Genomic DNA, 13,228 nt, shown 5'->3' with positions numbered 1-13,228 from the left:
GGGCCCATTCCTCCTTCCCTTCCCAGGCCTGCTCCTTCGTCCTGCCCTTGCCCCCTCCTTCTGGGCTCCTCCAGGGTCCAGCTCTACAAGAGGGATGGAGAGAGGTGCCGGGAGCCTCTAGCCCTCTCCCCTGCCCTCCTCTCCAGGGCCTCAAGCCCATGGATTTCAATGGCCTCGCCGACCCCTACGTCAAGCTGCACTTGCTGCCTGGAGCCTGTAAGGTAACAGCCTCCTCTCGCCCCGCCCGGCCCAGCCCATGACTCCAGCCTGTGGGGCTGGAGGACAGGTATTGAGAACCTTTCATCCCCACATCCCAGGCCAATAAGCTAAAAACGAAGACTCAGAGGAACACACTGAATCCCGTGTGGAATGAGGACCTGACTTACAGCGGGATCACAGATGACGACATCACGCACAAGGTGCTCAGGTGAGGGCCCCCCTCCCCACCACCCAGCAGCAGCTCGGGGACAGCTGACATTGTAACCGCTGGTTGGTTGATCTATGTCCCATTAAGCCCGTACCTCTCTGATGCTCAAGAACCATCAGCGGCTCCCTAGCCCCTTTGGCAGCAGGCCAAAATTCTTCCCTGCCATTCCTGCCCCTCAATATCTCCTGCCTGCCAGGTGTGGTGGCTCACACCTGTAATCCCAGCACTTTGGGAGGCCGAGGTGGGCGGATCACTTGAGGTCAGGAGTTCAAGACCAGCCTGGCCAACTTGGTGAAACCCCCGTCTCTACTAAAAATACAAAAATTAGCCGGGCGTGGTGGCATGTACCTGTAAATCCCAGCTACTCGAGAGGCTGAGGCAGGAGGATCACTTGAACCCGGGAGGCAGAGGTTGCAGTGAGCCGAGATCGCACCACTGCACTCCAGCCTGGGTGATGGAGACTCCATCTCAAAAACAAAACAAAAGTATCTTCTGCCCCTCAAACAGAGGACTCCCTTCTTCCAACTGGCCAGTTCCACAACTCCTGAACTTTTCCTGTTGTTTTCTATCTGGAAAGCTCCTTCCTGCCAGCCTAAATTCCGCTCATCTGAGGTTCAGTCCAAGCTCTGCCCCCTCCCAAAAACGTTCCTGGGTTGCCGAGACCCCTTCTCAGAGCCCTTGGCTTAAGCCAGACCTCTGCAGCTTTGGTCTGCCCCTTCCGTGCCTTGAGTTCCCCTAAAATCTCTTAAGGAGTGAAGTCTTCAGGGACAGGGAACTTGCTCCGTCATCCTAGGAGATGGAGATGTAGGGAGAGTACTCCCTCAAGTCAGGTGGCGGGCAGCGAAACCCAGGCTCTGGAGAGACCTCTGCCTTTGTGCTTGGATTTGCAGCTGGGACCTTCCCTGATGGTCAGGGCTGTGCAGCAGAGAGGCCACCTTGGTTTCAGCTATTCGGGTGGAATGGAGGGGAGGCCAGAGGCCAAAACCAGAATGAGACCAAAAAATGAGCGCTCACCAGGGCCCAGCCCAGGCTTAGCATTTTCACATTTCTTTCTTTCCCTTGACTATCTCCATTTACAGATGGGAATTGAGGCATAGGGTGATCAAGTGACTTGCCCAAGGTCACACAGGTGGCTCAGAAGTGGCAGGGCTGGGATCTGCCCATCCTCCATGCCACAGATGCCCAGCCTGGTAGTGGGTCACTGCGGAGGCAGGGCAGGGACTGCAGGAGGACAGGTGGCTGGAAAGCAATCATTTCTTAGTGAGTCCCTGCGGGGCTGGCTCTCTGCTGCATGCAGGAAAAGGACGGGGGTTCCCGAGGAGGCGTGGGGTACTGGTCTGGCTGCCCAAGGCTCCAAGGCCCTTCTAGCTCTCACGGCCTGTGTCTATGGCCACATCCACCGTGGTGTTCGGCTCCTGCCCCCAGGCCCTGAATGGAGGCAGTGAGCAGCGTGCTCCAAGATTTCTGAGGGCTTCCCACAATGGCTGAGCATGTCCTGATGGACCAGGGACAGCCGGGTGGCTGCAGAGGGAGGGACAGAGGAATGGGCAAATCTGCTTGTCCTTCTCAAGTGCCAGCCTGTCTTCCAGATGAGACGTAGTGTTTAGGGCAGAGCTGGGCTGGTCCAAGGCCCTTCCTACACCCCGGAACGGGGCTCAGGTACCCCAGGGGCCCTGACACTGCAGTTCCCGACCAGGATCGCCGTCTGTGATGAGGACAAGCTGAGTCACAATGAGTTTATTGGGGAGATCCGCGTGCCCCTCCGCCGCCTCAAGCCTTCGCAGAAGAAGCATTTTAACATCTGCCTCGAGCGCCAGGTCCCGGTCTGTGTGGGGGCTGCAGGGGCGCCAGGGGAGGGGGCCCTGGGGAGGCCAGGCTTCCAGAACCTTCTCTTTGCCCCCTCAGCTGGCGTCCCCCTCTTCCATGTCAGCGGCGCTGAGGGGCATCTCCTGTTATCTGAAGGAGGTGAGGCACCTCATGGGGATGGGGATGCATGTGGGTGGGAGGCTGCAGGGGCCCAGGCTGACCCTGAGTCTGTGCCCCGCAGTTGGAGCAGGCGGAGCAGGGGCAGGGGCTGCTGGAGGAGCGTGGCCGCATCCTGCTGAGTCTCAGCTACAGCTCGCGGCGCCGGGGACTGCTGGTAGGCATCTTGCGCTGCGCCCATCTGGCTGCCATGGACGTCAACGGTTACTCGGACCCCTACGTCAAGACGTGAGCCCTTGCTCTGACCCTCTCCTCCCCAGGGAGCCTGCCCTGGCCTGAGTTGGGCCTGGCCTGTCCCTCACCCCTCAGTTCGTCTCCCTCCACCCCACCCCCAGGTACCTGAGGCCCGATGTGGACAAGAAATCCAAGCATAAGACGTGTGTGAAGAAGAAGACTCTCAACCCAGAATTTAACGAGGTACCCAGGAGGGGACGGGACATGGAGGGAGGCCAGGGAGGGGCTGGGGAGCTGGCTCACGAACGGGTGGCCGGCCTTGTCCCTAGGAGTTTTTCTACGAGATAGAGCTCTCCACTCTGGCCACCAAGACCCTGGAAGTCACCGTCTGGGACTATGACATTGGCAAATCCAATGACTTCATTGGTGAGGGAGGAGCTGGCTGCGGGTGTTGAGGGCGGGCAAGTGGCAGGGAGGTGGCCCTGACCCTGCCCACCTGCTCCCCAGGTGGCGTGTCCCTGGGGCCAGGTGCCCGAGGCGAGGCTCGGAAGCACTGGAGTGACTGCCTGCAGCAGCCGGACGCAGCCCTGGAGCGCTGGCACACCCTGACCAGTGAGCTGCCCCCTGCGGCCGGGGCTCTGTCCTCAGCCTGAGTGGACAGCAGTGTCCCGGCACAGGCCCATCGAGCCGGGTCCAGTACCCAACCTTCGCACGAGTGTGTTGCACGTTTACACAGGGTGGGCTGCCCCCACCCTGCACTACCTATTTTTGTGAGTCTCCGTGACCCGGGTCTGTCTGCTCATGAGGGGCTGCGGAGTTCTATATTCACATATGCAAACCTCCTGCCTGACTCGCTAGTCCCTGCAAATATGCAAACCCCCCATCATCTGCACACCCGGGCAGTGCTCAGAGCCCGGCCCCAGGCCCCCGCGCTCCTCACTCCTGCCTCTCCACGCTGCCCCGTCCCTCTCCCCCAACAGGGAGGAGGTCGGATTAGGGGAGGTTCAGAGGAGGAGAATGTCTCAAAAAAAAAGGACAAAAAACAAACCCAGAGCCACTCCTTTAATACAGAAACTTCATTGAAAAAACCTAGCCCTGTACAGCTGCCCTTTTAAAGAGGTGGCCATTGCAGGGTCTCTGCCTCCCCAGCAGGTGGCAGATGCTCCCGGCCACTCGTTTAAATAACTGTCCCCTGGAGGGGGCCGGGGTTTGAAGGCAGGGCCCCTGCCACCCTCCTGGGGGACACCCGTGCATGTTTACGCCTTTTCTGGTTGTGTCAGTGGCCGGAGCATGGCAGCTGGGCATCAATAAACACCTCCGAGGAAGCTGGACTCGTGTGTGCTGGCACGGGGAGGGCGCCGGGCGGGGCCGTGGTGGGCATGGCGTGATGTCACGGTCACTCCGGGATGTCGATCACCAGGTCATCGTCTCCATCCAAGGCATCGTCCCCGCTACCTGCATCGCTGAACATCTGCCGAGGGACCGTGCTCAGGATCGTGGGGGGGGGCATCTTAGGGGGTGGGAGGGGGGTCAGGGTTGTCCCGACCCCAGCCCCAGAACCCCGGCCAGGGAAGGTCAGCGGCCCTCCCACAGGGCAGTCGGGGGGTCCCACCGCCATCTGCAGCAGGGGGAAGAAACACAGGGGGACTAGTCAGGGAGGCACTGGGGCCTCAGGAGACTAGGCTTTGCCCCCCAGGGCAGCTCTGGGGAGGGGGAAGAGGCCCTGGGCACAGCTGGGCCAACCCATGCTGCACTCAGGGCCTGCCCCCCTCAGCCCCTCGAGAGCCTCAAACCAGCAAGTGCCTGGGGGTGGTGATAGAGGTGAGATGAGGGGATGGGGGTGTCTCACAGGAAACCGGGAGGGAAAGGCCCGGGCACCTGCCCTCTCCAGGGAGGCGCCTGGGCTGCCCTGAGACAGGGGTTAAGCCAGAGGCGGAGTCGGCCTGGAGTGCTTGCCTGCCTGCCGGCCCCGGAGGTGCCACCTGCCACCAGCTTCCTCTCCCTACTCCTCCTCTCCCTCTTCTGCGGCACTCACTGGTTCGGTGGAGGGTATTGCAGGCTGCCTGAGCCAGGAGCCCCAGCGGCTTATCTGCCCCCAAGAAGCTTGTATTATGTCTTGGATGGGCCCCTCCTCGGGGTCCCGGCAGCTGTGGCCTAGGCCCAGCCCTCCTCTTAGCTCACCTGGGCTGCGGTCCCAGCCTCCTAACTGGACTCCCTGCCCGCAGCCTCTCCCAGATCCAGCTCCTCCGCACGGCAGCCAGAGCGCGCGCTCTAAAACACAGACCTGAGCGCGTCACCGTGCCACTCGGGGCCTCGGGGCGGGAGTGCCGCCTGCGGGACGACAGGCAGCCCCTCCCCCTGGGCATCCTGCTCTATTTGTCAGAAGTCCTGCTTTGTCCTCTGAGGGTGGGAAGTGGCCTCTGCCCTGCTCAACCCTTCAGCTCCCCCCCGCTGCCAGGTCCTCACAAACCCTCCCTAGAGAGCTCTGTGGGTCTCCTCTGCAGTCCCCGTGCTTTGTCTGTGGGCACAAACTGGGCACCTGCTGTGTGTCAGGTGGTTTCTGTTAATGCCCTCCCAGCCTCAGGACACTGGGGGGCGGGAAACGGGGAGAAGTCACGTGCCAGCAGAGGAGGCTGAACCTGGTGTGGACATGGAGGTCCTGAGGCTTAGGCCTGCTGGGTCCTGCGGGGCAGTGTCCAGTCTGGCCCTGGGCTAGATGCTGAGTGGGCTGGCAGGAAACGCCATGCGTGGTCTCCAGTGGCCCTTCTGAGTGTCACATTTGGCCCTGTGGCCTCCTCTCTGCTTCCTAAGGAGCCCTCACTTACCCTCATCTCCGCTGCTGGGGTGGTGTGGGGGCCAGGGTGGGTCAGGCCTCAGGGTATAGGAGGCTGGCAGGATGGATGATGGGGGGTCCAACTCTGAACAGCACCCCCACGCCCTGCACCAGGCCCCCACATGTACACACACAAGCAGACATGCGTGTATGACTGGAAAGGACCATCCCCTCCTCTGGCCACCTCCTCTCCTTCCCCACTGTGCGCAGCATGTCCCACCCTGGCCTGGACTTCCTCAGTGGCGTCCTCTCAGCCTGACTGGCAGCGGCTCACATTTCTCTGTGGCTTACTAGGGGCCAGGCACGGGCCGAGCGATTTTCATCCCTTCACTCACATTCTCCGCACAATGCCGCCACTGAATGGAGAAAGAGAGCTGTGGCTTAAAGAGTGAAATGACAACGCTGAGGTCGCATGGTGAGCACTGGAAGAGCTGGGATTCAAAGCTGGCCAAGTCCAACTCAGGCCTGACAGAACCAACCTGCTTCTGTCTTCACAGCTATCCTTCCTCTGCTTGGACTCCCTTCCTTCCATCTCCTCACTCCCCTGGCCCTTCAGGGACTCCCGCTCCCCTGACAGTAACAGACAAATTCCCACTTCAGGCCACTGTCCAGGCCTTCCATGACCCCACCCCACCCGGTTCTTCTTGCCAATTTCTTACCACTCCTGCTCTGGCCCAGGCAGTGCTTTCCCTGTGGCCCTGTCTCCCTTCCCACTATGGCTTCAGCCAGGAATATCCAAATCCACTCACCCTGGGCTTACACGTTCTCCTTGCTGAGGCCTTTCCTGGCTTCTCCCCACCTCCCCCGACAGCCATGGACCTGGGCCACCCTCTCAAACCTTCTCTCCAGAATGTCTACAACTTTGCTCCCGGACATGACTCTGCTTCAGGACTCAGCACCCAGCCAGAAAGCCTCAAAGTGCCCCCCAGTGCTGCGCCACCCCCTACCCTGCCCGCCACCCCCCTGCTAAGAACCAGGGCCAGTACTGTCACCTCTGCTTCTCAGGCTCAAGAGGTGAAGCCTCACAGGGCCAAGGTCACACGGAGAAAACGGCAGAGTTGGGATTAGAGCTCCAGATCCTGTACTCCAGACCACCGCAAATGCGGCCTCTCATTCTGCTTCTGGCTCCAGAACCCTGGGAGCCGCCCAGTTGGTCCCCACTCCGCTCTGCCCCTCAGCCCATCCCCATCTCTCCCAAGGCTTGCATCTACCGCCAGCCTGGCGGCTTCCAAATGCGCAGCCCCTCACGGGCCGCTATCTAGCTGCCTTTCCAGATGGCATCTGACACATCCGCGGCCAGACTCAGTTTTCCTCCAAGCCTGTGGTCCCACAGCCCTCCCATCTCCAGGGAGGGAGACTCCACTCGTGCTCAGACTAAAGCCCTGGAGGCATCCTGGCCTCTCTCCCGCACAGCCCACACCAGGTCCTCCAGGAACTCCCATGCTCATTCTCTGAAATGGGTCCGCAGCTCCCTCTGGACCCTCTGCCCTTGGCCTGGTTTACCGTGGTGGCCTCCTCACTCCCGTCCCAACTCACTCCACCGCTCAGTCTGTTCTCTGACCACCAGTGTCTGCAATTTTGTTAAGATGCAATTAGATCACTCCCCCTCCACACCTGCAACCTGCGCCCCGCCAGGGAACTGCTGTCTCCAAGGCTTCATTCACAGCGAATCCTGCACACTGGCACCTCATGAGCTCCCCCTCTGACCTGCTCCGGGACCCAATTCCCTGCTTACTTTTCTCCCAAACACAGACTCTGCCCGACAGAAACACTGCCCAGGAGCCACACAGCTTGCTGCCATTTCCTGTAAGTCTCTGATCAAGAACATCCCAGACTGCTGGGCCCTAAGTGTCAGCCTCGTCCCCCTGGCGTCCCCATGCTCTGGACCTCGCTCTGTTCTTCTCCACAAGTACCTACTTTTCTGGTGTGTTTTCTGCCTATCTTGCTAGACTGTGAGCTCTGTGAGGGCAGGCACTGGTCTGCTTTGTGCACTGCCGTGTAACAGGAGGCGCTCCAGGGGCGCTTGCTGGTCACATCGAGTAGGACCACTCGCCCTATAGGTGCCAAGCCTAGGAGGCCTAGAGGGTAGCAGAGACCTGCTCAAGGCCACGTGGTTTCTAACAGGCAGTCTTGACTTGACTCTAGATCCCATAATCCTGACCCGGTCTGGGGCTACCTGGCATCACACAACACGCCCCCCTGGGAAAATGAGCCTGGCCCCGCTACACTGCAGCCATGAAAGGGCGGGATCCCTGGCATCTGCACACCGGGTCCTCCAAGGCTGGTTCTGCCCTGATTTGTCTCCATACAAGCCTGTAAGCCGAGACTTCTGTGATCCACCCCTCAGTGCTAAGTGCTGACTGGGTCCCCAAATTAACTGTTCATGGTTCTCTGACAGGCCCCCGCCTTCAGCCTCCCTCAGGTGACTGTCCTCCTGCCGTCCTGCCCCTCCCTAGCACCCCCACGTCAGGGTACCTTGAGTTTCCGGGGCAGGCGGGGCCGTTTCTCCCGCTTGGGCCTCAGGGGACTGGGCTCGGGCAGCTGCAGGGCCAGGTAGTCAGAAGGGAATGGGGGGTAGCGGGAGGAGGCCAGCTGCGGGCGGGAGCGGGGATGGAGATGGGAGGCGGAATGGACCGGGGTGAGGGTGGGGGAAGAAATGCAAACAGAAGGAGGATGGAAAAACAAAAGAGATGGTGATGAGTGCGGCTCCCGGGGCTCCCGAGCACAGAAGGGCCGGGCAGCAGCAGGATGCTGTCCTGGGCTTTGCTCTCCTCAGTCAGGCCTGGCCCCGTTCCTATACCAGAGAGAAGGGGGCAGCCCCGACTCACACCCTCCACGGGACACTTGGGCCACACCCAGACAGATGTCCCCAAAGTTGGGCTGGCCTTGCCCCGAGGCCCAGCCCTTCTGCCCAAATGACGCCCACCTTACTCCCAAGCACTTCCCATCCCTGACCCCAACTCACCGAGCTCAGGTATGGGGAGGGGACCCCGGAGGCCTGAAGGGGAAACCCTGTTGAAGGAGGCAGGGAGAGGCTGGAGGGAGAGGGGGCGCCCCCCAGCGGAGGGCTTCTCTTCCTGGAGAAAGGACAGGGCGAGGTCAGATGTGGCTAGGAGCCCAGGCGCCCCACCTGACCCTCCCCAGCGAGAGGAATGCATCTTCTTCTCACCTCTTAGGGGCCGGTGTGTCAGACAACTTGGGTGTCCCCTCCGTCTCGCTGTTATCTGATGATGCAGTGGCATCTGAGTCTGTGATGGGGACAGCTGGTCAGTGGGGATGGGGGGATCCCAGTCCATCCCAGAAAGGTATAACCTCCTCTACACTACAGAAGGGCACTGGAAGACCAGGTGCGGGGGCTCACGCCTGGAATCCCAGCACTGTGAGAGGCTGAGGTGGCCAGATCGCTTGAGGCCAGGAGTTCAAGAGCAGCCTGGACAACCTAGCAAGACCTCATCTCTATTAAAAACAAAAACAATTATCCGAGCATGGTGGCGTGTGCTTGTAGTCCCAGCTACTCAGGAGGCTGAGGCAGGAGAACTACTCGGAGATTGAGACTGCAGTGAGCTGTGATTTTAACACTGCACGCCAGCCTGGGTGACAGAGCAAGACCCTGCCTCAAAAAAATGAAACAAACCAAAACCTAACAGAAGGGCCCCGGGGGAATCTGACTCACCAGCTGGTGGGCACACGCATGCACCACACACTCGAGCTGTCCCAGGGAGGCCCATAGCCTCTCCAGCCTCCCCAGCCCCCCGCCCGCTCTGGTTCCTCCGTAACACACCTGCCACGCATGGCCAGGGTGCCAGGCTCTTTCCCACTCACCACCTCTCCTTGTCATCAGATCCAAGGAAGGATGGGAAGGGCAGCACCTCCACTTGTCACATGAGGTCACCGAGGCTCAGAAAGTAAGGTGTGAGGCTAAGACTCCAAGCCAGGTCTGTGACTCCTTGGCTGTTTGATGCCACTGGTTCCTTGCCTCTGAGCTGAGCAGTCTTCAACTCCTGCCTCTGCCCCACTCCCCATAACCAGGGTCCTGTTCATCTACCCCTGAAGTCCTCCCCTTCATCCACTGCTCCCCACACCAACTAACACAGGTCAGGCCACCAGCACGTCAAAATCACCTGCTAAGCAGTCTCACCTCACCGTGCCACCCACTGTCCACCCCCAACCCCAGAGTGACCTAAAACAAACCTGGTCACATCCTTCCTGATGACATCACCCACTACCTGCATGAATTCATGGTGCTGCTTAATCTGGCTTCAATGTACCTTTCTGGTCAACTAACGTAACTGTATTCTTTAAAGCACACTGACCTATTTCGTCAAAAAAGAAATGTATTTCCTAGTTCAGTGCCTCTGCCTAGAAGGGCCATCTTTCATCGAACAAACGACTGCTACACCTATAGAAGCCGTTACCAATGTCTCTGCTCAGACAGACCCTTTAAGAAGCAGATTAAATGCCACCTCCTCTGTGAAGTCTTCCAGAATCCCTCAAGCCCAGTTAACTGCAGGCTCTCCTGGAACGCTCTACTCTCGTCATGGCTGCCCTCACACTGTGCTGAAAAGCGTCGTTTGCGAGTGTCTCCCTGGCCAGGGCGTGGGCCTCCAGGACGGGAGTGGGGCTCGCATCGCTGGCTCTTCCTCCTCAGATGCAACCCACTCTGGCCATGAACATGCTGGGTTCTCTCCCACCTCCTGCCCTGAATTCCCCTCAAACAGGATGTTAACTGGAAGCCCCTAGGGAAGGAAGAGGCAGGGGATGAGAGGCTACAATAAAAGCCAAATCTCCTACTATGACCTACCTGAGTGGGCCCCTGCCTATTTCCCCAACCTTATCTACAATCCTCCTATAATAACAAGCAAATGGGTATCATGCGTTCTGACAAAACACTACGTCCTAAAACGTGGCTGGCTGCCACATGCCAATCCCTGCCTCAGACCAATGTGCTTTTTTTTTTTTTTGAGACGGAGTCTTGCTCTGTTGCCCAGGCTGGAGTGCAGTGGCGTAATCTCGGCTCACTGCAAGCTCCGCCTCCCGGGTTCACACCATTCTTCTGCCTCAGCCTCCTGAGTAGCTGGGACTACAGGCGCCCGCCACCACACCCAGCTAATTTTATGTATTTTTAGTAGAGACGGGGTTTCACCATGTTAGCCAGGACGGTCTCGATCTCCTGACCTCGTGATCTGCCTGCCTCGGCCTCCCAAAGTGCTGGGATTACAAGCGTGAGCCACCGTGCCCGGCCCAGACCAATGTTTAAAGGCACCACGGAGAGAGGTGATTCTACGTGACATGGCTTACGAGGGCCTCACCCAGGAAGAGGCCCACAAATGCCTACCTTAGGGCTTTTTCAAACTGTGGGTCTCAAGCCATTAGTGGGTCATGAAATCAATTTATTGGTTTGCAACCAGCATTAAAAGAAGGGGAAAAAAGCAGTCTAAAAAGTGTCAGGATGAATTGGATACAGTGATCTTAAAAATGTTTCGTTAAACTTTGTTTTGTTTAACATGTGGGGCCCTGGTTATGATGTAAAATATAGTTAACTGCAGACAATATTCAAATAAAAGGACGAAAACAGTGTTCTCTCTCTTTCATGCCTCTGCTCTTCAACCAAGCCTGACCTGTTCTTACCTCAGGGTAGCTGCATTTATATTATTCTGCCGGGACAGCTCTAGCCCACTTCTTCACAAGATTGGTTTTTGTTTTTTTTTTTTTTTTGAGATGGAGTCTGGCTCTGTTGCCCAGGCTGGACTGCAGTAGTGCAATCTCAGCTCACTGCAAGCTCCACCTCCCAGGTTCACGCCATTCTTCTGCCTCAGCCTCCCGAGTAACTGGGACTACAGGTGCCCACCAACATCCCCGGCTAACTTTTTGTATTTTTAGTAGAGACAGGGTTTCACTGTGTTAGCCAGGATGGGGTTTCTTTCTTTTGAGACAGTCTTGCTCTGTCACCCAGGCTGGAGCACAGCGGTGCTATCATGGCTCACTGCAGCCTTGACCTTTCAGGCAAGGGATCCTCCTGGTTCTGCCTCCCAAGTAGCTGGGACCACATGTATACACCACTATACATGGCTAATTTTTTTTTAATTGAGATGGGGTCTCACTATGTTGCCCAGGATGGAAGGCTGGTTTCTTCTCTGGTCCCAACTCAAATGTCACTCTGTGAAAGGCCTTTCTTGAGTACTCCATTCAGAGGTTGCCTGCTGCCTGCTTGTGTGGTCTGCAAGCTAAGAAGGGCGTTTTTTTTTTTTTTTGAGACGGAGTCTCGCCCTGTCACCCAGGCTGGAATGCAGTGGCAGCGATCTCGGCTCACTGCAACCTCTGCCTCCAGGGTTCAAATGATTCTCCTGCCTCAGCCTCCCCAGTAGCTGGGATTACAGGTGCACGCCACCACACCCGACTAATTTTTGTATCTTTAGTAGAGACGAGGTTTCACCATGTTGGTCAGGCTGGTCTTGAACTCCCGACCTTGTGATCCGCCCACCTCGGCCTCCCAAAGTGTTGGGATTACAGGCGTGGGCCACTGCACCTGGCCAAGAATGGCTTTTAAGCTTTTAAACGGTTGGAAAAAAAAAAAACTAAAGAAAAATTTTTCATATGGAAAAATATGAAATTCAAATTTCAGTGCCTATAAAGTTTTATAGAAACATAGCCATACTCATGTATTTGCCTATGGGGTACGGCTGCTACTACAATGGCAGAGTTCAGTAGGTGCTTCAAAGATTGTATGTTGCAAAAAGCTTACTTACCATCTGGCCCTTTGCAGAAACAATTCATCAACCCCTGTTCTACTATAATCATTACCGCATAACTGTTTTCATTACCTTCAAGTCCTTCCTATGACCTAAAATTCTAGTCTATTGTCTTCATTTACTTATTCTTCCCAACTAGAATATAAATTACAAGAGGCCAAGGGCTTTGCCTATCTCTGCCTCTGCTGTATCCCCTGTGCCAAGCACAGTGCCTGAAACACAATAGGTGCTCAGTAAGTGCCTGAATGAAAGAACGGTGGAGGTGGAAGGCAAGCAACTAGGCTTAAGGACCACTGGGGGCTGCATCAGCCACCACTGCCTAAAAGGCGGGGGCCCAGGAAGCTTGCTAAGTACCAGGAACCATGCTCTCCACCAATTTTTGAAGACCTTGCTCACCCGAAGAGTCTTCATCCACGTTCTCGTACTGCAGAAGTCGGTCTAGGAGGAAACTGAGGGGAGGGAAGGAGACACGGACAGTGATTTTCCAGCGCAGCAATGTCCTCCTGGGTACCTGTCCCTCCCAGCTGGCCCATCGGATACTTGAAAGAGCCCATGCACTTGTGGCCCTACTCGGGGATGGGGTCCGAATGTAGATTTCCTAGGAAGCACATCGCCCTCCGCCCCTGCAACGTGCCTCACCTCTTGTCCCGGGACACCTTCAGTAATTTCCTTTGCGCTTTCCTCAGCTCCTCCTGGAAGCACTCGTGCTCCTGTATCACGGGCAAGGGGTGCGCTGGGCCAACGGTCCTCCGTGAAGGGCCCCGGAACCAGCGGCCGCTCGCCCCACCCACTTTACACCTGGGTAAACTGAGATCTTGTCCGCGCCAGGCCTCATCCCCCACAGCCTTCCCGCGGCAGCACTCACGTAGATGAGGAACTTGAGCTTCCGCTTCAGATTCCGGTATTTTTTTTTGTAGTCCACTTCGCCGTCCGCCGGCCCGTTCATGACCGGCCCGGGAGTGGCGCCCAGAGTCTGCCCTCCCGCTACCCCAAGCAGTGGCTGCCGTGCCGCTCCCGCCTCCACTTCCGGAGACGCTGCAAGGCTGTGCCGTCAGGACTACA

At 57.7% G+C, this 13,228-nt stretch overlaps 2 protein-coding genes across 35 annotated transcripts in view, besides 2 other annotated features; one reads left to right on the top strand and one right to left on the bottom strand.

Annotated features, from left to right (window-relative positions):
* DOC2A (double C2 domain alpha) overlaps positions 1-3,909 on the top strand; it is a 17,715-nt gene extending 13,806 nt beyond the window's left edge. For 10 of the 12 annotated variants that reach the window (XM_047434807.1, XM_047434804.1, XM_047434803.1 and 7 more), the window contains 8 exons: positions 147-221; positions 318-427; positions 2,124-2,250; positions 2,333-2,392; positions 2,475-2,638; positions 2,746-2,827; positions 2,914-3,010; positions 3,092-3,909. In XM_047434807.1, the coding sequence (XP_047290763.1) occupies positions 147-221; positions 318-427; positions 2,124-2,250; positions 2,333-2,392; positions 2,475-2,638; positions 2,746-2,827; positions 2,914-3,010; positions 3,092-3,237 (861 nt within the window). In that variant the 3' untranslated portion in view covers positions 3,238-3,909. The remainder of the gene's footprint in view (positions 1-146; positions 222-317; positions 428-2,123; positions 2,251-2,332; positions 2,393-2,474; positions 2,639-2,745; positions 2,828-2,913; positions 3,011-3,091) is intronic. The other 2 variants (NR_104089.2, NR_104090.2) reach the window with 2 other exon arrangements.
* INO80E (INO80 complex subunit E) lies at positions 3,632-13,182 on the bottom strand. 23 transcript variants are annotated; one of them, NR_134855.2, is made up of 11 exons: positions 13,032-13,182; positions 12,806-12,876; positions 12,563-12,615; positions 8,587-8,665; positions 8,383-8,494; positions 7,893-8,009; positions 6,410-6,987; positions 5,897-5,987; positions 5,753-5,773; positions 4,766-4,855; positions 3,632-4,202 (listed from the first exon to the last, which is right to left on the bottom strand). NR_134855.2 is itself a non-coding variant. In XM_047433982.1 (10 exons), the coding sequence occupies exons 1-10, from the start codon at positions 13,110-13,112 to the stop codon at positions 3,998-4,000; spliced, it is 828 nt and encodes a 275-aa protein (XP_047289938.1). In that variant the 5' UTR covers positions 13,113-13,182; the 3' UTR covers positions 3,632-3,997. The 23 variants fall into 23 exon arrangements, 16 of the variants coding, with proteins under 16 accessions (XP_047289938.1, XP_047289940.1, XP_047289939.1 ...); XM_047433982.1 differs by lacking the exons at positions 5,897-5,987; positions 6,410-6,987 and adding an exon at positions 4,541-4,673 and having other exon boundaries at positions 3,632-4,055; positions 4,766-4,868; XM_047433984.1 differs by lacking the exons at positions 5,897-5,987; positions 6,410-6,987 and having other exon boundaries at positions 3,632-4,055; positions 4,197-4,202; positions 4,766-4,868.
* Positions 4,914-5,698: an enhancer, noted in NCBI's record as "H3K4me1 hESC enhancer chr16:30015046-30015830 (GRCh37/hg19 assembly coordinates)". NCBI's record gives its function as "activates a minimal SCP1, AML or CMV promoter by ChIP-STARR-seq in primed H9 embryonic stem cells {active_cell/tissue: H9 hESC(primed)}" and the evidence as "EXISTENCE:reporter gene assay evidence [ECO:0000049][PMID:30033119]".
* Positions 13,099-13,228: an enhancer, noted in NCBI's record as "active region_10687". NCBI's record gives its function as "activates an Ori minimal core promoter by ATAC-STARR-seq in GM12878 lymphoblastoid cells {active_cell/tissue: GM12878}" and the evidence as "EXISTENCE:reporter gene assay evidence [ECO:0000049][PMID:35858748]".

This window comes from Homo sapiens, chromosome 16, assembly GCF_000001405.40.
Source record: "Homo sapiens chromosome 16, GRCh38.p14 Primary Assembly".
NCBI classification, from domain to species: Eukaryota; Metazoa; Chordata; class Mammalia; order Primates; family Hominidae; genus Homo; species Homo sapiens.
Note: the sequence above shows the minus strand (reverse complement) of the source record. Positions and strands in the feature narration are given on the sequence as shown.